The sequence below is a fragment of the Homo sapiens genome, chromosome 7 (genome assembly GCF_000001405.40).
Source record: "Homo sapiens chromosome 7, GRCh38.p14 Primary Assembly".
Taxonomy (NCBI): Eukaryota; Metazoa; Chordata; class Mammalia; order Primates; family Hominidae; genus Homo; species Homo sapiens.
In genome coordinates this window covers 132,371,187-132,392,157 of record NC_000007.14, presented here as the reverse complement: position 1 = coordinate 132,392,157, position 20,971 = coordinate 132,371,187, and the positions used below count along the sequence as shown (strand labels likewise).

Sequence of the window (20,971 nt, the reverse complement as noted above, 5' to 3'; positions counted from 1 at the left end):
CTTCCAGGAATCTTTTCTTTTTTTTTTTTGAGACCAAGTTTCACTCTTGTTGCCCAGGCTGGAGTGCAATGGTGTGATCTCAGCTCACTGCAACCTCTGCCTCCCAGGGTCGAGTGATTCTCCTGCCTCAGCCTCCCAAGTAGCTTGCATTACAGGTACCTGCCACCGTGCCTGGCTAATGCTTCATATTTTTAGTAGAGATGGGGTTTCACCATGTTGGCCAGGCTGGTCTTAAACTCCTGACCTCAGGTGATCCACCTGCCTCAGCCTCCCAAAGTGCTGGGATTACAAGCGTGAGCCACCGGGCCCAGCCATTCCAGGAATCTTTTATTCATGCTCCAGAGCCTTGTGCCCTCCAAAGATTGTGGAGTCTGCCTCGGTGGCCTCCCTGGCCTCTGACTACTGGATGAACAGGACAGTGAGGACCCCGGCAGGAGACTGGTGGGATGGAAAGGATAGAGGTTGGAGATTAATTCACACTGGTTCCCCACTTTTAGCACTGCCCCCCTAACCCACTGTCCACCCCTGCTGGGTAGCCTGGGGTTGGCTGCATCCTTTACCTAAGATCACTTCTCAAAGTCATCTGCCCTACACGATTCTCCTTTCAGCTTCCAATAAACATCCCCATTCTTTGCTCCCTCAGGCTAAAGGGTTGTAAGGGTGCTTTACTTTGGCTAGCCCCAGGATCCTGCACTATCCCTTGAGGTTGCCCATTAGTTCACATGGGTGAACCAGAGAAGTAATTAGAACATATCAGCACAAGCTGTCCCCAGTAACAGAAGACAAATGCAAGGAGTTTCTACTTCTTCTTCAACATGCTTTGCCAGTCACTATGGGGGAGATCGAGTAAGGGAAGGGAAGTGGATTCCCCTAGCCCCAGTTCTCCTGCCCTGAGACTGATGCTGGGCATTGCATTTCCCATGTCACCTACCTGATGCCACCTTGCAGCATGGCCACACACACTCATGCACACACGTGCACATACCTGCTCCTGCCAGCTGCTGGTACCCTTCCGTCCTCCTGGCTGGGCACAGACTCTCCTTTCCACTAATGCTAACTGGCATTGAGGGGAAGCAGAAACTAGATTCCATCATCCCTTTGCTTTACTCGAAAGGGATGGGGCAAAAGGGAAACTCCCTAAGACTGTGATGCTGTGGTATGGGGAGAAGTAACTAGAGTTTGCCCTCTGCGTTCCTTCCCATCCACTGCCTTCTCTGCTTACCGGCTTTTGAGTCACCAGCAAAGAATTTACTGTCTTATTACAGACATCATTTTTCAACATTAGAAGCACAAAAGGAGAACAGAAAGGCCTTAGCCCAGCTCATGCCCAACCAATGTGAGGAAGTACAAGCTCCTTGGGACTTTCAAGGAGTGCAAGTGCCTGCTGAAAGGCAGGGTGGGGCTGGGTGTGTCTCAGGAAACAAGAAGGAGAGTGGTTGGTGGGCAGAAGGGGGCTGGGACTCATGGGGCAGAGAAGAAGCGGGGGCCATGATGTGGCACATCCTGGGGCTTGCTTTGCCAGACAGAGAAGTTAATGATGGCTGTGTTTTCAGTGGGGGCCTTTTCTTTTTTATTGTTATTATTTTTTATTTTTTATACTTTAAGTTCTGGGGTATATATGCAGAACGTGCAGGTTTGTTACATAGGTATACATGTGCCATGGTGGTTTGCTGCACTCATCAACCGGTCATCTACATTAGGTTTTCCCCTAACGCTATCCCTTCCCTAGCCCCCGACCCCCCGACAGGCCCCAGTGTGTGATGTTACCCTCCCTGTGTCCATGTGTTCTCATTGTTCAACTCCCACTTAGGAGTGAGAACGTGCAGTGTTTGGTTTTCTGTTCCTGTGTTAGTTTGCTGAGAATGATGGTTTCCAGCATCATCCATGTCCCTGCAATGGATAGGAACTCATCCTTTTTTATGGCTGCATAGTATTCCATGGTATGTATGGGCCACATTTTCTTTGTCCAGTCTATCATTGATGGGCATTTGGGTTAGTTCCAAGTCTTTGCTATTGTGGACAGTGCCACAGTAAACATACATATGCATGTGTCTTTATAGTAGAATTATTTATAATACTTTGGGTATATACCCAGTGATGGGATTGCTGGGTCAAATGGTATTTCTAGTTCTAGAACCTTGAGGAATCTCCACACTGTCTTTCACAATGGTTGAACTAATTTACACTCCCACCAACAGTGTAAAAGCATTCCTATTTCTCCACATCCTCTCTGGCATCTGTTGTGTCCTGACTTTTTAATTATCACCAATCTAACTGGTGTGAGATGGTATCTTACTGCCCAAAGTAAGTTATAGATTTAATGCTATCCTGATCAGGCTGCCATTGACTTTCTTCACAGAATTGGAAAAAAAACTACTTCAAATTTCTTATGGAATCAAAAAAGAGCCCACATAGCCAAGACAATCCTAAGCAGAAAGAACAAAGCTGGAGGCATCACACTACCTGACTTCAAACTATACTACAAGGCTATAGTAACAAAAACAGCATCGTACCAGTACCAAAACAGATATCTAGACCAATGGAACAGAACAGAAGCCTCAGAAACAATTCCACACATCTACAACCATCTGATCTTTGACAAACCTGACAAAAACAAGCAATAGGGAAAGGATTCCCCATTTAATAAATGGTGTTGGGAAAACTGGCTAGCCATATGCAGAAAGCTGAAACTAGATCCCTTCCTTACACCTTATACAAAAATTAACTCAAGATGGATTCAAGACTTAAATGTAAGACCTAAAACCATGAAAACCCTAGAAGAAAACCTAGGCAATACCATTCAGGACATTGGCATGGGCAAAGACTTCATGACTAAAACACCAAAAGCAATGGCAACAAAAGCCAAAATAGACAACAAATAGGATCTGATTAAACCAAAGAGCTTCTGCACAGCAAAGGAAACTATCATCAGAGTGAACAGGAACCTACAGAATGGGAGAAAATATTTGCAATCTATCCATCTGACAAAGGGCTAGTATCCAGAATCTACAAGAACTTACACAGATTTACAAGAAAAAAAACAACCCAATCAAAAAGTGGGCAAAGGATATGAACAGATACTTCTCAAAAGAAAACATTTATGCATCCAACAAACATATGAAAAAAAGCTCATCATCACTGGTCATCAGTGGGGCCCTTTTCTTTTGAGAATGTTGTCTCTTCCAGCCAGAGCTGTGTGAAGGACACGCCTCTGCTCTGAGCTGCCAGTCATGGCTTGTGGGATTCAGGCTCCTCTCATGTTATGGGACTTGCCAGAAAGAAGCCCTGCTTTGAGGAATAGAATAATGAAGGCTAATGCTTCCTAGAATCTTGTAGAATTGGAAGGGAGGGCTGGCATGAGCCCCAGGCTTGAGCTCATCCCACCCTGAATTCTACAACCCAAAGGTTGAGACAGTTTCTGTCTTATCCACCCTTGAAGCCAATGTAGTCCCAACTTAAGGCCCCAAAGCCTCTTAGGACCCCTGGGAGAAGTAATTGGGTGAAACTCTTCATACGTACTTATCCTTCAAAGAGTTTAACAGCTGGAACCCCTTAGTTGGATTGCTAAAAATACATGGTCAGGACACAGAAAAGACATTAATAAGGAGACCTTTTTTTTTCTGAACCAAAATTGTTAGTTAGGGTAGACTATTACAATACAATAATAAGTACAAAATTATCATCGTGGTGGAATATCTGGTGACTGGGACTAATATGAATGATTGACTTACAAATCATGCATTTTCTTGTTACTCTCAGGCAGGGACACAATGTGGCTGGGTGACTTTGGGCAAGATACTTAACATTGGGGGTCCTCAGTTTCCAGGGTCTCCCCAGCTCTGTGTTTTAGTGATTTGGGGCAGAAGGGGAGAGAACTCCTATGGAAGTCGGATCGAAGTGACAGTCACAGTGCAGGTGAGACAGGAATAGGGAGGACAGGTGTATGGGAGTGCTCCGAAAAGGGAACCAGGGATTGGCTGTACCCCACCTGCACCCTGAGATAGAAGTCTCTTATGAATCTGTACATATTCCTTGTGATTTCCTTTCAGCTGGACTGAGGGGGCTGTGACTACTCTCCTCACTTGTGTGCAGGTTGAATGTTTTAATTAAGATCTGGGCTGCTGGTCGGTGGGAATTGATTGAAGCTGGCCTGCAGTCCCAGACAGAAGCAGAGACATGCCGCGGGAGGGAGGTGCAGAAAGAGACCCCGGGGAGCTTCCAGCCTCTCTGGCTCTATGCTGGAGACAGAGCAGGGTTCAGAGAGCCCTTAATGGCCAAGCAGATTAGGAACATGGTTCCGGCTGAGGGCATAGAGACCTGGTGAATGATAATCAAACTTGCAGCCAGTCAACCAGCTAAGTAGACAAGATCTAAATAAACATCCTGCTGTCTCTGCGTGGGCCGCCCACAATCTCCATTACAGAATCAAGTTGTCTCCTCCAGCACCCTGACCTTGGGCTCTCTGCTTCATCCTGGTGCAATGCCCATTTCCCAATACTGGATTCATAAATGTCTCTCACCCTTTGTGCTCACTCTCCTGGGCTTCCTTTGGATCTGGCAAGTGAGTGCCGTAATTCTCTGGTGGCTTCTGAACCATAGAGTTACCTGGCGACAGATGGGCTATTCAGTTTTCTCAGCTTTTCTTCTTCATTCTTGCCAGTTACTCAACTCCCATAAAACATTTCAGCCTGCAGACCCTGCCAATTTTTACATCCCCCTCTGCTCTCCAACTTAGTTAAGGCACTTCAACGTTGAGTATCTCCTTTACTCAAAGACATCGTGAAGGTTGAGTGGAAAGAAAACATTTATAATCTATTAGCTCAGAAGCCTGGTCTATTCTAGCACATCTCAAACTTTCACATGCATACAAATTGCCTGGGAATTTTATGCAAAGGCAGATTCTTATTCAATAGGTGTGAGGTGGAGCCTGAGATTCTGCATTTCTTGCAAGTTCACAGGTAATGATGATGATCTTGGTCCTTGAACCACACATTGAGTGGCAAGGATCTAGACCAGCGCAATTCAGCATATACTCTGTGAACGAGTTGTTAGTGGCCTGTGCTGAGATAGGTACAGACATTGAGAGTGAGCATTTAGAAATGTATACAGCAACTTGATATTGATGCAACATCCCAGCACATACTCAATGCATTTGTATTTTGCAGCTTCAAGTTTCACTCTTCTAGTAATTTGTTCTTCTAGTATTTGACAAAAGTATCCATCTACAGTAGATGGGAAATTTTACAGAATGGCCCTTCAAAACAATTTGAGAAGCTCTGGCCTATAAGACATGTGATGTGCTTTGCAGTCCCCAAGATTTTCTGATGCTCTGCAGCTTGTGCACAAAAGTGTCCCGTCTTTGGGGACAACCCTGGGGAACATGATCCCTGCTGAGGCTCTCGAGCCAGGTCCCTGGAATATCCTCATCCCACCTGTTTTCCGAGCTCAATGTTTTCTTTCCACGGCAGAATGCTGGGTATTTCAGACGACGGTTTAACGTACCGGGGGTATGCCAGGAAAGGCTGACTAACGAGAGAGGCAGCCAGAGAGCCTCTGAGCATGTGGCCCCAGAGGTGTCCACCCCAAGCCTGGGCAGCCTGTTCCCTTCCCCACTAAGCATGATTTTACTCGAATGTAGTACCACCTGCCCCACTTCTGAGAAAGAAAAAGCTAGGCTGCAAAACAAGCCAGTGAGAAGGCTTCCTGCCTTGCATGCCCACAGGGGAGGGCTGGGTGTTAATGAACCCAAGTGCAGTCATAACAGGAATGAGACCAGCTGGAGCCCGCCCGTGTTTGACCAGCGGTCATTTGGCAGGATCCAGACTGCTGGGGGAGTGGTCAGAGATGCAAACACAGCCCGGTGTTCTCCCTGCAGAGGCTGTCTTTGTTGTTCTTGGACCACTGTGGGCCAGGACTGGTGGGGATGACTCTGGGGACACAGGGCTGGCAGGATTCCTTTCAAACTCATTCTTTTTCTTCCATTTCCCACCTCTGGTGCTTGTTTCAATGCTGGGCAGCTCACGGGGCCCCTCTATCAATGGACTGATTGGTTTTATATTCCCCCCTTCTGAGCTGGAGGTAATCCCTCAAAGATCGCTGCTCTATGGAACATCATGCCATCTTTACTAAATGCTAATTAAGTTTAAAAATCACAGAGAAAAGGGGCTGATATTGAATAACCATGTGTTGAATGATCTTCTTACATCCTTCGGAAATTAGCCACTTCAGCGTTCAAAAACGATGTGATTCCAGCTAGGTTCAGATTTAATTGAGTGGATAGATTTTGATTTGTGCTTATGATTTATTGAATGACCCTAAGCTGCTTTATCTTTTAATTTGTGCAAATTATTAGTGAGGGGCAAGGTTGGCCACAGGAGGACTTGTCACTGAGAATGTGTGTGTGTGTGTGCATCCATGTGTGCATGCGCACGCGTGTGTGTGCGCGCATGCACTTGCATGCTCACCTTTGGATAAAAAGTGATACTTGGTAAGATGGGGCTTTGAGGTTGTTCTTTCAGGGACATAGGTGAGGCATCCTGTCCTGATCATTCCCCTTGCTGTCTAAGACACGTGCCATCATACAGCTTGCTGAGTCAGGTGCCTGGGGCCGGGTGTAACATCCGTGGCCAGGGAACAAAAGTAAAGTTGTTTGGTTGACCCAGGATTTGGACTTCAACTGTGGCCTTGTTAGTTCTGCTCCATAGATATTGAGGCTCTTAATACATTTTGTAATACATATTTACTGTATTTCAGAACTGTAATACATATTTACTGTAAACAGAAAGGAGGAGGGGAATAAGGAGGCTTATGGGCATATCTTGTGCACCATGGTCTAAGTCTGCTAAGGTTTCATCTTTTCCAGATGCCTGGTACCAGCCTCTGCCCTACCCTTGAGCTACAGACGGGACCCCGATCCCACAGAGCAACAGTGACTCTGGAACTCCTGTTCTCCAGCTGTTCATCAAACTGAGAAAAACTTCAGAGCTGTGTAGGCTTATTTAGTGTGTTGTCAGCCTTGGATATTGGAAAATGGAAACAGATGAGACACATCTACCTCCCTGTGACCCCAGCCATACATCATAGCTCATGTCCTGCCACCCCAAGTCCTTAGGGAAAAAAGACTTTGGAGAATGTGTCTCTGCTTAGCTTGGCTAGGTAGTTGGTCTCTTTTCTCTGCCCCAAGCGTCCCATGGGTAATTTTGGACAATGGAGTGTAGGCATGTTTGACTCTTGTGGTGTTATCACTTGTATATGTCAGTGAAACTAACTGATTCTCCCATCGGAATATAGTTATCTCTTGGGCCTGATATATGGTAGGATAACCTTATGCTCATCTGTCCACTTCTGCAGCCAAGTCGCCTGGCCAGTGTGTGTGTGTGTGTGTGTGTGTGTGTGTGTGTGTGTGTGTGTGTATGCTTATCTGTGTTTAAAGGTGTGTGTGCATACACAGGGCAGAGAGGATGGAGCCCACCGTACTGCAGCATCATGTAATTAACTCAGTGCTCAGAACCATCCCAGCCTCTGCGGGAAAGAGAAAAGGAAGCCAACAGTGCCTGATGAGCTGATCATATGTGCAAAAGCTCTGTTGGCATCTGGTCCAGGAGAGCACCCAAAAAAAGTTAATTGGTGTTGTCCAGTCTCCTTTCCTTAAGACTATGGTTACAACAAAGCGTGAGCAGTGTCTCCTGCATGGCCACTATCCAGCACAATTCCATAATTCCCCCATAGAGCCGGTGGGGAGGAGGAGGTGAGTGGCGAAGGAAGTGGAAACACTTGGTGTCATGTGCTCCTATCATTTCTACTAGCTTACTGGGAAATAAAGTGTAGTCAAGAGTGTATGAAGGCAAGATGTAAAATTAGCGACTGGTGCTAATCTGGTTACTTGAAAACAAGTGAAAGTGCTGTAGATTTGTTCTGTTGCTAAGAACCACCACACTAAACCTCGTATAGTTCCTGGAGGATACACAACAGTGTAATTCTCTTTAGGGTGTGCCACAGGTTCCTGGCCTGTGGGAGGGAATGAATCAGGAGGGCTCTTGAGAACCTTCATCTGTGTGCTTGCACTGAAAGTGAGTCCCAAAGCTGGAGATTTAGTGAGAGCAGGCAACCCCTCTGTGTCTCACTGTCCATATTCTGGAGGCAGAGGTTTGTAACAGGCCATGTGCACCTGCATAGGGATGGGTAAAGCAAGGACTTTGAAAGAGTTGAAAAGCATTATAAACAGTTGTTCAGAAATACGTCCCAGGAGTTCCATGTGAAACTGGCTCTGTGTGCATTGAAGCATGGCTGTTGGGAATTCTAACTGGTCCAACACTCCTGCAAAACAATGTGTAAATATTTAGGAAGAAACTTGAAAATAGTCAAATCCTTTGAACTGGTGACAATTTTTTAAAGAATCAATTCTAATTTGTTTCAAGGGTAATAATCACCAAGATACACATTTCAGCATTTATTTAGTCTATCAAAAATTGGAATTGATATATACACTCATTTATAGGAGAATGGTTAGGTAGATTTGGTATATTTATGTAGTCATTGAAAACTTAGTTTATAAAGGCCAATCTTGTAACTGATTCTTGTGTGATAACATTCAGTGAAAAAGCATGAGACAATTAGAAAGCATGATACAATGAATAAAATAAAAACTGGAAAGAGAACCATCAAAATGCTAACAGTAGTTGTGCTTGGAAAATGGGATGAGGTGTGGTTTATTTATTGTTTTCTATTTATTTACATTTTTTCTTAATTTTCTTTAATGAGCATTTATTACTTTTACTTTGGAAAAAATAAATTTTGAAAAATAGAATCCCAGGGAATGCTTTAGGTAGCATTTAAGTCTGAGGGTGAAGATGCTTTGAAATATCCATGTCCAATCCTGGTGTGTGCAGCCAGCCAGCTAATTAACTCAGCAGTGAGGGGGTCTTTTCTCGAGGGGGTCTTTTTTCAAGTGGGCTGTATGGTTTGCTTGGTGGCTTGGCCATCTCACAACACATGCCATGAGTGGGCTTCAGAGAGAGGGAGCATGGATGGAGGGATCAATATGAGCCTTTCCCCACTGCTGGGATAAACCTGACTGCCAACAGGAATGTATTAAGGGTTTCCTACAAAGGATGCACCCTGCTTTGAACTAAAGATGATACAGAAGAAGTACAAAGGAAAATCGTTGCCCATAAGAACTTGTATTCCTATATAAGGATAAGACACTAAGACATAGACACGCAAAAAAGTTCATGAACATAATATATAACTACATTTGTGTATGCATATACTTGTGTGTGTTTATATATGTATATATAAATATACACATGCACACCCACACATATATATGCACTCACATACACATACTGCAAATACTCTCTCAAATATATTGGTAGCTCAGACAATATATAATTGTGCAATGCAAAATAAGCACTTGTTATACTGTGTTAGTAGCATTGTCTTTGAATACAAAGGGCAGCGTATCATTGCTGATCATTTTGATAGCGATAACAATTATTGCAGACCATGCCAGTGCCAGTACTCTCTGTTATTAACGAGCTGATGATGTAGCAGCCATTTGCAAAATACTACACATGACAATTTAAAAATCTTGATCCTTTCACTAAAATTGACTGTGCATGCTTAGGGTGAAAGGCTGGTGGAGGTTTGAGGTCCCTGCCACGGGGACCTCATATTTGGATCTCACTTGAATCCCTCCGGGCGAGCTTGAACAGCCATCCTCATTTTACCATGGCAGAAACTGAGACTTCAGTAGGCTGCATGACAGCCTGAAGGCAGCAGCAGCAGGGGCTGTGATTTTTGTGTCTACACTGCACCCCTCAGCTGGTCAAATATTATCCAAGCAGGCAAGGCAAACAACCATGAAGGGCTCATGCTGGAGCCTGGAATGCGTCTTTCTGACTCCTGCAATTGGCTGTGCTCTTAACCCTCTTCCTGCTTCCTCTTCTCTGGGCTTCAGGGAAAGAAGGAGACCTCCTCAGCCTGTGTGCTTTGTCCAAGAGGACAAATGCAGGTGACCTATTAGAAAGCACATCTAGTGGTCTACCCTATACTCAGCCCAGAAAAGTCCCCAGCTTTCTTTTCTCCCCTCTCCCTTGTATTTTATCATGCCCTGTGGCTTTTTCTGTGTTTTCCCCCCTCCTCTCTCTCAAAGCAAGCAAACAGGAGTGTGAATAATTGATTGAGAGAAACTGGAATGACTAACAGTTCTGGTGGGAATCGTCTCTCACATCAGGAAGCCTGCGGGGGTGCACAGATGACGACCAGACGCCTCTGGCTCCTGCCCTGGAGGGATTGTGGGCTGCAGGGGATGCCCACCAAGCCCTGTGGCACCTGGCTTTGTCTGGACCCTGCTCGGGGCTCCTGGCGCTCTCCATTAAAGCCTCAGCCCTGGGCAAAGGCTGCAGAATCTTGGAAAATCCTCTTTTCCAATCTGATTTGAATCACACCTGATATTCACTCCGCATTCATCCCAAATGTGTGAGTGTATGTGAAGTAGAACACGGGCTAGGGGTGTAAATTCTTTGCCTTATTAATATCCATGCCAGATGTTTCCAGACTGTGTTCCTTGCAACTGGAATGTCACTTGAAATTTAAATAGATGTTTTTAAATAAAAGATTATCTGGTCAAATTTAAGAAATACTACATAGCCTCCTCTTAGAGATGCACTACACACTTAAGTATATTAAAATACCTGAGAAGTCTAGCAGATTCTTCAGTTGCATTTGTTTTCTTCAAACTTATTTGGCCATTTGACATTTTGAATCACTTCTTTTTTATCTTATATCTTGTAGGACACTGTCTCAAGTGTACAATTTAGGAAAATATTGTTCTATGCACCTCTGCTCCCTACCTCATATCTAGAAGGGACAAGATCAGATTGCAGATGTGAGTTTGAGTCCTGTCTCTGCCTCACGCCAGCTGTGAGACCTTGCAGGAATCTCTGAGCCTCAGTTTCCCCATCTATAACAAGGATACAACCAAACCAACCAGTCCTCAATTTGCAAGTGCTACCTGTTGCCAGTAACAGTGCCCAGCAGAGTGCTTGGAATCCTGGAGATACTCCATAATCTTGTATTGAAACTGATTATAGTCCATGGTAGATAAAATTACCTTGTAGCTAAGCAGAACAGATTCAGATCCGTTTCAGAAACGTGAGTCTCTAGCTCAGGAGATTTCCACAACTGTCCTTAGTAACCTGATCTTATTCTCATGTTTAACCTTGGCAGTGGGAAGTTCTTCCTGGTATCCTGCCTAATTTACTGGAGTTGGCATTAATGCCATTTCCCCCTAAGGCGTGGCTCTTGGACCAGTATCACCTGAGAATTTGATAGACATAGACCCAGAGTTACTGAGGCAGGTGCTCTGTTTTGGGGACCAGCAATCGGTGCTTTAGCAAGTTCTTTGGGTGATAGGGTTTGGAAACTACTGCTCTAAAGCATCATCTGTTTTGACTTTGCCATGCACAATCTGAACTCACTCCCGTGAGGCCCTGCTCCTGATACTTTAAATCGTCCTGTCTCTTTTTCTGCCTCTCTGTGGAGGACTGCTGTCTGTTTTCTGGGTTCCTGGAATGTTGGCAAGTTTCTTTAAATCAGGATCATGAAATTCTTTGAGAATGGCAATCATCCATACTTTAGGAACACACCAGGAGATGAAGGGCCACATTATATTATCTTCTCCCTCGGTGCCTTGGTCCTTCTGTCTGGGCGGGTTCTCTGATTCCATCCATCTGCTTCCACAGCCATGTCAGGGACCAGGCAGGGTGAGCCAAGAGGGCCACAGTATTGCAGTGGAGGAAAAACAGTCTCCCTGGGGGAGAAGTGTTGGGTAAATATGCCTCCTTGTTATCACCACCAGGGCCTGGTGCTGCCCTTTGCACACGATCACAATGCTGCAAATTCCACAGGCTGCTCTCTACAGGGAGTTGAGCAATGGATAACAACTGTTGGGAGGGTTAGTTCTTTGGTATTTTGATTCATTAAAAAAGTTATCTGTAGTTCCCGGAAGCCCCAAGGGGAGGGGCTGCTGCTACTCCTGGAATCCCATATGGGGCCAGTTTCAGCATCTCAAGCAATTCTCAAGCCATAAATAAGCCAACACTGATATAAAATGTGGTGAGCCCTGCCTCTGTTATATTAAGCCACTGTTATATTATGAGGTACAGGGGCAGTGAGGGGTGACGGTGGTGGCAAGTCCAAGAACATATGAAGCCCAAGAACATACCTTTGACTAGTAAAGGCCAGACCATAATTAAATAACTGGTCCCTACTGCAAAAGCCTTGAAATCTGGAGACAGTGTGTACACCAAAAAGGGTAATAGTTTGGATGTTATCTTTCATTGTTTTTGAAATTTGCAGAGTGACTGTGAAGAGCTATAGTGTGAGATTCGGGAATCCTGGGTTTTAAGATTGGCTCTTCCCTGGTGGTTTGCAACCTTGAACAAGATTATTTCTTCATTCTTTTACTCTTTCCTTCAACATTTGACTGATGTTGATGATGCTCTTGCCACTATGCTGGTTGCTCAGAGTACATTATAATCAAAGAGTAGAAGCACAGCCCTGTTCTTAAGTAGCCCACAGTCTGAGGAGGAAGGTATTTGTAAATAGATCACAATACAGAGAACAAAGGCTTCCATGGAGGAATGCAAGGTCCATGGGGATCTGTAAGGCAGAGCCTCAGATGCTTTGGAGAAAGGAATGCTTCTCAGACAAGGCTTTGACATGCTGCCTCCATTTCTTTCCCTCCTCCAGGGGTTTTGTAAAAGCCAGGTCATATCAACCTAGTCCTGGTTCTCCCTTGCGTGGTAGGCTCCCACATGAGGAGGGACATGAGACACTGCCTGGTGTAATCACCCTTTGGATGCTAATGTACCCATTCCCATAGTACACAGCCACCCTTGCCCACACACAACAACCCAGCCACTTGTCCTGCCTCCACTTGAATATCTCCAATCATGGGGAATTTTGTATGAAATGTTATGGCATCTGTTATAAATAAAAGATCTGGCCGAGCACGGTTGCTCATGCCTGTAATCCCAGCACTTTGGGAGGCTGAGGTGGACGGATCATCTGAAGTCAGGAGTTCGAGACCAGTTTGGCCAACATGGTGAAACCCCATCTCCATAAAAAATATAAAAATTAGCTGGGTGTGGTAGTGTGCACCTATAATCCCAGCTACTCAGGAGGCTGAGGCAGGAGAATGCTTGAGCCTGGGAGGCGGAGGTTGTAGTGAGCCAAGATCGCGCCATTGCACTCCAGCCTGGGCAACAAAGAGTGAGACTCCATTTCAAAAAAAAAAAAAAAAAAAAGATCCAGTGCCCATTTCAGAATTGTCTTGGCTGTCACTGGTTTGAAGTAGACTAAATCTCAACTAGCAGAACCTCCTGATACCATTGAGTGAAATTTCAAATCTTAGCAGCTCAAAGAATATCAGAGGTGGGAGGGACTTTTCAATAATCATTATCATTCTCATTCTCTTTCTTTGAACCTCATTTTGCGCAGGAGAGATCACAGACCTAGGTGAAATGACAGGAGGAAGTTAATCATCTGCCATGCCTGCTATCCATGAAACTTCTTGGAATGTCTGGTAGTTTTTAGGGAATAAGGAGCTCATAAGAACACCTCAGGGATGGGCACAATCCTCAGAACTATGACATGCTAGGGGAGAGGTGACAACCCAGGACACAGCCTGCTTTAGGCCTTTCTAATCTCTAGGGATTGTTGCCTAGTAGAGAACTTTGGCATCAACCAATGACTCAAGAAATAATCACCCAGGACATACCATGTGCCAGCCATGTGCCAGGGGTGGTGAGAAGCTGGAGCTCTGAGTTAAATACTCCTACTCTTTTCTCTAAAGCACGTGTTAAGTTTTCAACGGGAAGAATCACTATTTCCACGACTTGAGAACACTAGACCTCTGGCCCACAGAGCAACAATCACCTCTGCAGCATGAAACACCAAGCTGCCACAGCTAGTGCTCCCTTCCAGGTACCGTCATGACTCTTGAGAATAACATATGTGTTTCTCACAGAAACAAGATAATTGGGGAATAGCATAGATGGTTTCACCAGGAGAGTGTGATGGTTGGGTGGGGTGGGTGATGGAACTTCTAGGGTGCTCTTCCTACCCTCACTTCCAATATTTGGGGGAACAGTGCTATGTCAGCAGAAGTTGGAGGATTGCTCCTGAAAGCCCTATCCATTGCCTCTCCCATACCACAGTTTCAGCTCGCGGCCTCCAGTAGAACGTGGGTGTGTGTTTCTGTTCTTTTCTTTTGTGCCAGGCTGTGCTGTGAGAAACAGCACTCTCCCCTGCCATCCATCCTGGCTCTTTTCTCTCCTCAGCCCCAGGTCTCTGCATTTCACTCGTTACCCCTGGCCATACCTTCCTGCTCACAGATATCTTCTGGAGAGCAAAGGGATTTGCAAGTAGGCAGCAGAACCTATCTACTGAGTTGGTGCTGGTGGCCACTGAGGGGCACAAGGAAATCAAATGGTCTCTCCAAGCAGCAAGGTGGGGAGAGGGGCTCCTGTGGACCCATGAGGGATGTTGTAGAAGGGGAGGCTGTGGTACCCCATCTTCTGTGCTGCCCAATCAGATGTGTGGGTGCCACAGAGATGGGAGAGGATGTCACATCTTGCACCTCAGTTTTCCTACCTGCACAGGGGAACAGAGGAGTTGATCCTTCCAGCTCTCCCTTTTGTTTTGTTTTGTTTTCTTTTTTTTTTTTTTTTCTTTTTCATTTGAGTTTGTAGAAGACTGTGTCTGGAAAAGCTCTGGGCTTATCAGGGAAACACATTCTGTACAGGCCATTCTAGGGGAGGCTATAAAAAGGAGGCAAAGGTCACTTGGCTTGGAAAAAATTATCTTTAGGATTGAAATCATTTAAAGCAATTTTTGCTAGGAAAAGGAGAGAAGTTATTTACTTGGGAATCTGGGTTTTTTCCAACTGGGTCCCAGTAAACAAGGCTGCTGGGCTGATATTTCATAACATAAGCATCTCGTATTCTCTGGCTTTTCCTAAATAGCCTTTTCTAGCAGAGAGAAAGAGAGATCCAATTGCCTCATAGAAAACATCTGGGGAATCTAGTGTAGGATTTCTTTTTCTGTACTTTGTTTTTACACATTTCGTGAGCCTGGGAAAGGAGTTTTTGCTGGCATTCATGTTTGATGAAGAGAGAGCAATGCAGGAAGATAAGTTTCTCCAGAAGCAAACATTGCCATAGGTGGGATTTGGCTCCTCCTGCTAAAAGCAGAGAGAGGATTAACCCTGCCTGGCACCGAAGGTTGACCTGGGAAGACAGAGAGGATCAAGGAGGACTGGGTGCAGGTGGGGCCAGGCAGGAGTGATGGCTGCCCCGTGTCCGTTCTAGGACAGTCACAGGGACAATTTCTTCTGGTTCCAAATCCAGGCCAAAGCCACCATCAGGGCCTGCTGGATAAAATTAAAGGTGGTGGGCGCTGCCTCCACTGCAGGGTGGAGAAATCAGGAGGCCTGGGAAGGCCTTCTCTCCTGCCCAAACAGTGATTGATCAGGGCTCCTGAGAAATGGTTATTGCTGAGCAAATCGCTTCCTGGGAGTGGAGATTTAACAGCAGCAATTTTATTTCCTTATGGTTGCTTCTTGCTGAAAGTGCCTTGCCTAACATCAGTGTTTATAGTTGCTGAGTTTGAAGGGCCTTTAAAAAACAATCCTTTAAAGGAAGGTATTTGGAGAGCTGAGCCAAGTGTAAATGAGGAGAAACAGATACTTAATTGGGATGCAGTGGGCACAGGAACCCCAGCATCCTGCTCCTCCATGGAGCAGCAGCAGAGACATGGATTTCTTCTTCCCTTCCCTGTATCCTCGGCTGGGGGTCCTTTGCCTTGCGGAGCAATAGAGGCTTTCCCCTTAGCATGTGAACTCCAAGGACTTTCGGCAAAGTTGGTACAGTCCCTCGGCCAATGCTGGGATCCCTGGTGATGATTGATGAGACCTTTTCACATCGCCAAAGCTCTCCACAGTCTTCAGAGTAGCAACACTTCAAGAACCTTATCAAAATTTGATTCTCACAACAACACCATGGGGCAGATGCTACAGGTGGGGCTGTTCCAAATTTGCAGATGGGGAAGCTGAGACCCTTGAAGTGAAGGCATTGGTCTAAGGTCATGCCAGTGGCGTTGGGACTCAAACTCTACTGTCTGCTCTTTTCTGTTCACATAAGGGACTGGCTGGAGTGGAAGGAAATATTGCTTCTTGCTCTCCTTGGCTCCTATTTGCCTTTTTCCTTTCTAAATTCCACATAAGCTCTCCCTCACTTAGTTCTTCATGCTGGCAGTCCCCACTTGTGCTTTGTTCCCCCACATGCCATGCTGTTTCCCACCCTGCTGACTGAACACATGTAGCTCTGCCTACAGTGTCTTCCCCACCATTTTGACTGCTCTAGGAGCTCTTTCTCAGATCAGATGTCACCTGTTTCAGTAAGCCTTTTTTGATCTGTCCTTCCTGTCCTCCTCTTCCCCAAGTAGACAGAATCACTCCCTTTCCTGGACTGCTACTGGGTCCTCTAGCATGTCCATGTTGGCATGGATCACACTGTGCTGTGGTTATTTAATCAACTGCCTGTCTTTCTTACTGAGTGCTGCATGAGACCCTTTAGGGCAGGAACATCAACAGTTTGTCTTTGGGTCTCCAGTGCCACACACAGAACATGCACATGGTATTTGCTTTTGATGAGTGGAACTGGGGCTGGGGAGCCAAGTCCATGTGGCATTATTCTTGAGCCTTTTCTACCTCTTGGGGGACAACCGGGTTTCTGGATCCTAAGGAAGAAGTTTGTGTGAATTTAATGATGTTGTCCCAAATTGTTTTGAGGGCTGGGGCGTGGGGGGGGGCGGGATGGAGTTAAGGGGAAGGACCAAGATGACATGGAAGATGTGTAAGCACTGGCCATGTGGGCCTGGAAAGCCCGATCAGTCTCTGCCCCACCAGGTTTCTTTCCTACTCTGGCCTTGCCCAAGCCTCTACTAGTAGGACTCAAAATCCCAGCTAAAGTGTCTGTCTTGGAAAAAGGCACATAGATGAAATGGGGACATCAGCCTCAGAGGCCTTACTAACATGAGCTTGGGTTATCCAGGATGAGAATGCAGAGGGCGGGGACAGCCTCGCCTTTCTTGGTCTTCTCACACACAGACTTGTGCACATTGTCCATCAGACCTCTCTGACACCTTGAAAAGAACACACAGAGAGCTTGTCCCACAGCAGACAGGGTAGTTGTAACTGACTCTGGGTGGCTTACCCCTCACATACATTTTCCCTGCAGAAAGCTGGAATGCTTTTCTGGCTTTAAGAGTGAATTTGTTGGAGTTGATAGTGAAATTGCTAGATAAAAATTATATGCTCTCTGTTGGTGCAAGTGCCTCACACTGATTCATTTTGCTAGTCATGACTTTTCTGTTTTCTTGGGGGCAAAGCTGGCAAAACAGGAGTTTGGTAGAGCTAGAAACTGTTGTTAGCATTCGAGGGTTCAACAAGTGGTGACTCTTTGGCAATCGTGAAAGAATAGCCCAGAACCTACACCAGCTCCTGGGACCCACAGATACTCTGGGTGTGTTCCTCTCTGCAGACATCTGATGGATGCGTTCTGATACCCACCAGTAGCTTCTAATTACCAGCTGCTCACCCTTTCCTTCCCTCCAGCCTTTGCTGGTGTAGGCCTGGCATCTCCCAACAGCTAGCCTTTGACACCCTGCTTGTTTTGTGAAGGAGCCTGTCGTGTGGTATTAAGGCAAGGTGGATCAGCCCCTCAGAACTGAGAGCCAGACCCTGGATAGAATTGCATGTGACAGGAAAGATGAATTTATCAACATCAGCGGCTCCTAATGAACACAATCTCCCAGTGCTAATGGGAACCTTAAGGAGTTAGGCATGGATGAAGGCCACGGAGGCTTTCAAATGCAGATGCCCCTAATCAATCACATATTGTGACTCATCACTTACTCCTTTGGTCCACTTTTAATAAAGACCAGGATGAGCTTCTCTGTCCAAATGGGAATGAACGGGAGCCAAGCTGCCATCTTCACTTCGTGCAGGTCAGCATCAAATGGCTCATGATTACTCTCTGATGTGCAGCAACTTGTGTGTTGCTGGACTGGCAGCTCTGCAATCAATCCCAGCTGCTGGACTGGAGTGTGGGGAGCCCCCGGCCACCTGAGCCTCAGGTTGGAATCCTCTCTTATATATCCCTATTAAATACAAGGCCCTACCACATGGGAGAGTTTAAAGGGAAAATGAGATTTTATTAAAGCCAGGAGACCTCCCTGATAGAACAGAAAACCTAATAAGGGCGGTAAGATTTCTTATCTCCCATGAAAGTTTCCCATTTTCCCAGATTTCTCTCTTTTGTTGTCACTGTATTGCTCCTCCTCCACCCCTGCATTTCCATGGGCACCTCATTATTTAAAGCCACTGCTAAAAAGCCAAAAATTAGTAGCCAAACCATCCAAGAGCTGTTTCCTCACAGTGAAGGCCCAGGGGTTTCAAGTGTATTTGTTTTAAAGTTTGAACATAGTAACTTCAGTAGACTCCCCAGCTTTAGAGCATTGATGGGATCTGGATTTCCAGTGGAAAATAAGACAAGCCAGAAAAATGTGTACATCTACAGCCCTTAGTCCAGGAGGAGCTGATGGCCAGACACACAAAATCGAACCTTTCCAGCTGCCACTCTGCTGGTTTCACTAACCTATGCACATCCAGAGCTACGGAGGCCTGGCACCAATCATAGAATCTTAGGGCATGAGGCACTAAGACCTGGAAGCCTCTTCCTTTCCTTCCCTTCCTCTTGACTTCTCCAGACCTTGGAGAGAACATTGCAAGACTGAGTCCTCTGGGGAAAGGTGTACTTGGCATCCCTGGTTGCTGGGGCTAAAGGTGAACTTAGCAATGAAGTTCAGCTAGAGACTCATGGGCAGCCAGGGCTTGTCTTGCCTGCTCTACTGGTTTTATCATTACTTCTACTGCCTGACCACATCATGCCCTGGCCATCTCAAAGCTTGGAATTAGTGCCCGTGCAAAATGGGAATAATGATATTTACCAACGACATAGTATTTTGAAGATTAAAAGGGATAATGGATGGTAAGCCCTCAGAAAAGTGCCTGGCACATAGTAAGTAATAAATGTTTGGCATTATATAGTTGGCATAGCATTAAATTATTTTATGGTTTTGTTAATAAATGCTGGAGAAATGCCAATTTTCAAGGCACTTCCATGCTCTCCACGCCAGGCCCTCTGCTGAACCCACGGACAAAGATTATCTTCTTTAAGCCTCTCAACTTTCCTTATTTATAGGTGAGAAAGTTGAGGCTTCCAGATGTTGCACAAAATTATACTGTTGGTGAGTGACAGAGCCAGAATATCTTGTATTGATGTTTATGCAGTACCTATTTTATGTCAGACACTACTAGGTGCTGGAGAATTGAACCTTTGTTCTATTTTGTTTGATTCTAAAAGGCTTCATCTCTCTAATGCATCATGCTGGTTTCCAGTGTGTGAGGTGTGGGAGAGGGTGAGTAACATCAGACCTTGGAGGTAATGAAGATAGAGAGGACACGTTGCTTGGTGTGGGGGCTTCCACTCCTGCCTGAAGGCTGTGGTGCAGTAGCTGAGCTGATGCCACTGGGAGGAAGGATCTGCATAGATCTACCTGACCTCCTTCAGAGGACTGTCATCCACAAATCCTAAAGGAACAGGAGGGACTCCTTCAATGAAGAAGAAACTGCTTGAGTAAACAGGGCCCAGGCCACGCCACGTGTGTGATCTGTGTGGTGATACTGAATGGTATACAGTTTATTCTGGGAAAATGTAAACATCAAAACAGCAGAGCCACTCAAGGTTATCATCTCTGACTTGGTTTTAGCCATTTGTTTCTGCTTCTTTTGGATTGGAAAATTGAAGCTCATTGCTGGAAGGGGTGATACCTTTGCTCAATAGCTGGTCCTGCAGCCCTAATGTAGTGCCACATGACAGGTCACGTGATGTAAATCTTTCCCAAAGCATTCTCATGTGCCTGACCACCTTGAGTACAGCTGGTGGGAGTGTGGGTGATGCGTTGACTGATAGGAGATAAGCCAGGCTGGGACAAAAATAATGCAGGTGTCAATCTAGAGGCGATGGCCAACAATCATTAATCAGAGTAGTGGCACAGATAATCAAAAGATCATGTCTTTTTGGCTTTGGATGCATGATTGCAGTTTTTCACATCAGGCTTACCTTCCCAATCAAGTTTCCCCAGAGTTATTTCTCAGTGTGTTTTCATGGATTAAAGCACTCTTCAGTGGCTAGGTGTGGTCTAGACTGTGTGTGTGAGTGTGTGTATGTGTGTGTGTTTGTGTGTCAGGAGGCAGGGGCTGATCAGAGAGGCCCAGCCATGGGCTTTGATAAAGGAGTTACTGTCCTTGATGCCTTCTCTTTAATTCATCCCTTTCAAGGACGGCTGTGAACATCTTTGGCCACTGTCTCCGTCCCCACTCGAGTTTAAGGCTCCCTCCCAAGTGGCTGCTTCCCTTCCAGGCTCACTGCAACTTTGGTTTTAGCCATCAGTCCCCTCGGTGCCCCAGTTTTATGAACTCCTAGGGGGAGGATTAATTTTCTATCCCAAGTCTTTATTCAGGGAACTGTGTCCAGAAATATGCTCCTACATCTAAGCGGTACTGACATCATTGGCAGGAAACTCTCACAAGAAGTGATTTGAGATTAGGGAGATACAGGAATAGCTGTAAGATACCGAAAGTTAGAGAAGAGGTAGCTGAGGATGGTGGGCCACTTTCTTTGAGGGTCTTGGGCCATCTCAGAGGGTCTCCTGGGACAGTTTTTGGTAAGCTCCTTCCTTGCCCACCCAAACAGCCCAGTCTTAACTTCCCATATTCTTTTCTCTGTGCCTTCTGTATACATAACACGGAGCCAAAGGACTTAAAACCTGGTTCATGATTTCC

At 45.7% G+C, this 20,971-nt stretch overlaps 1 protein-coding gene across 10 annotated transcripts in view; it reads left to right on the top strand.

The window, feature by feature from the left end:
* The window catches only part of PLXNA4 (plexin A4), a 525,349-nt gene that overhangs the window by 256,531 nt on the left and 247,847 nt on the right, over positions 1-20,971 (top strand). For 2 of the 10 annotated variants that reach the window (NM_001105543.2, XM_047421019.1), the window contains one exon: positions 6,863-8,666. The exons of the other annotated variants lie outside the window; for them this stretch is intronic. In NM_001105543.2, coding sequence (NP_001099013.1) covers positions 6,863-6,970 — 108 coding nt within the window. In that variant the 3' untranslated portion in view covers positions 6,971-8,666. Of the gene's footprint in view, positions 1-6,862; positions 8,667-20,971 lie in introns of those variants that run through there. 10 annotated transcript variants of the gene reach the window in all.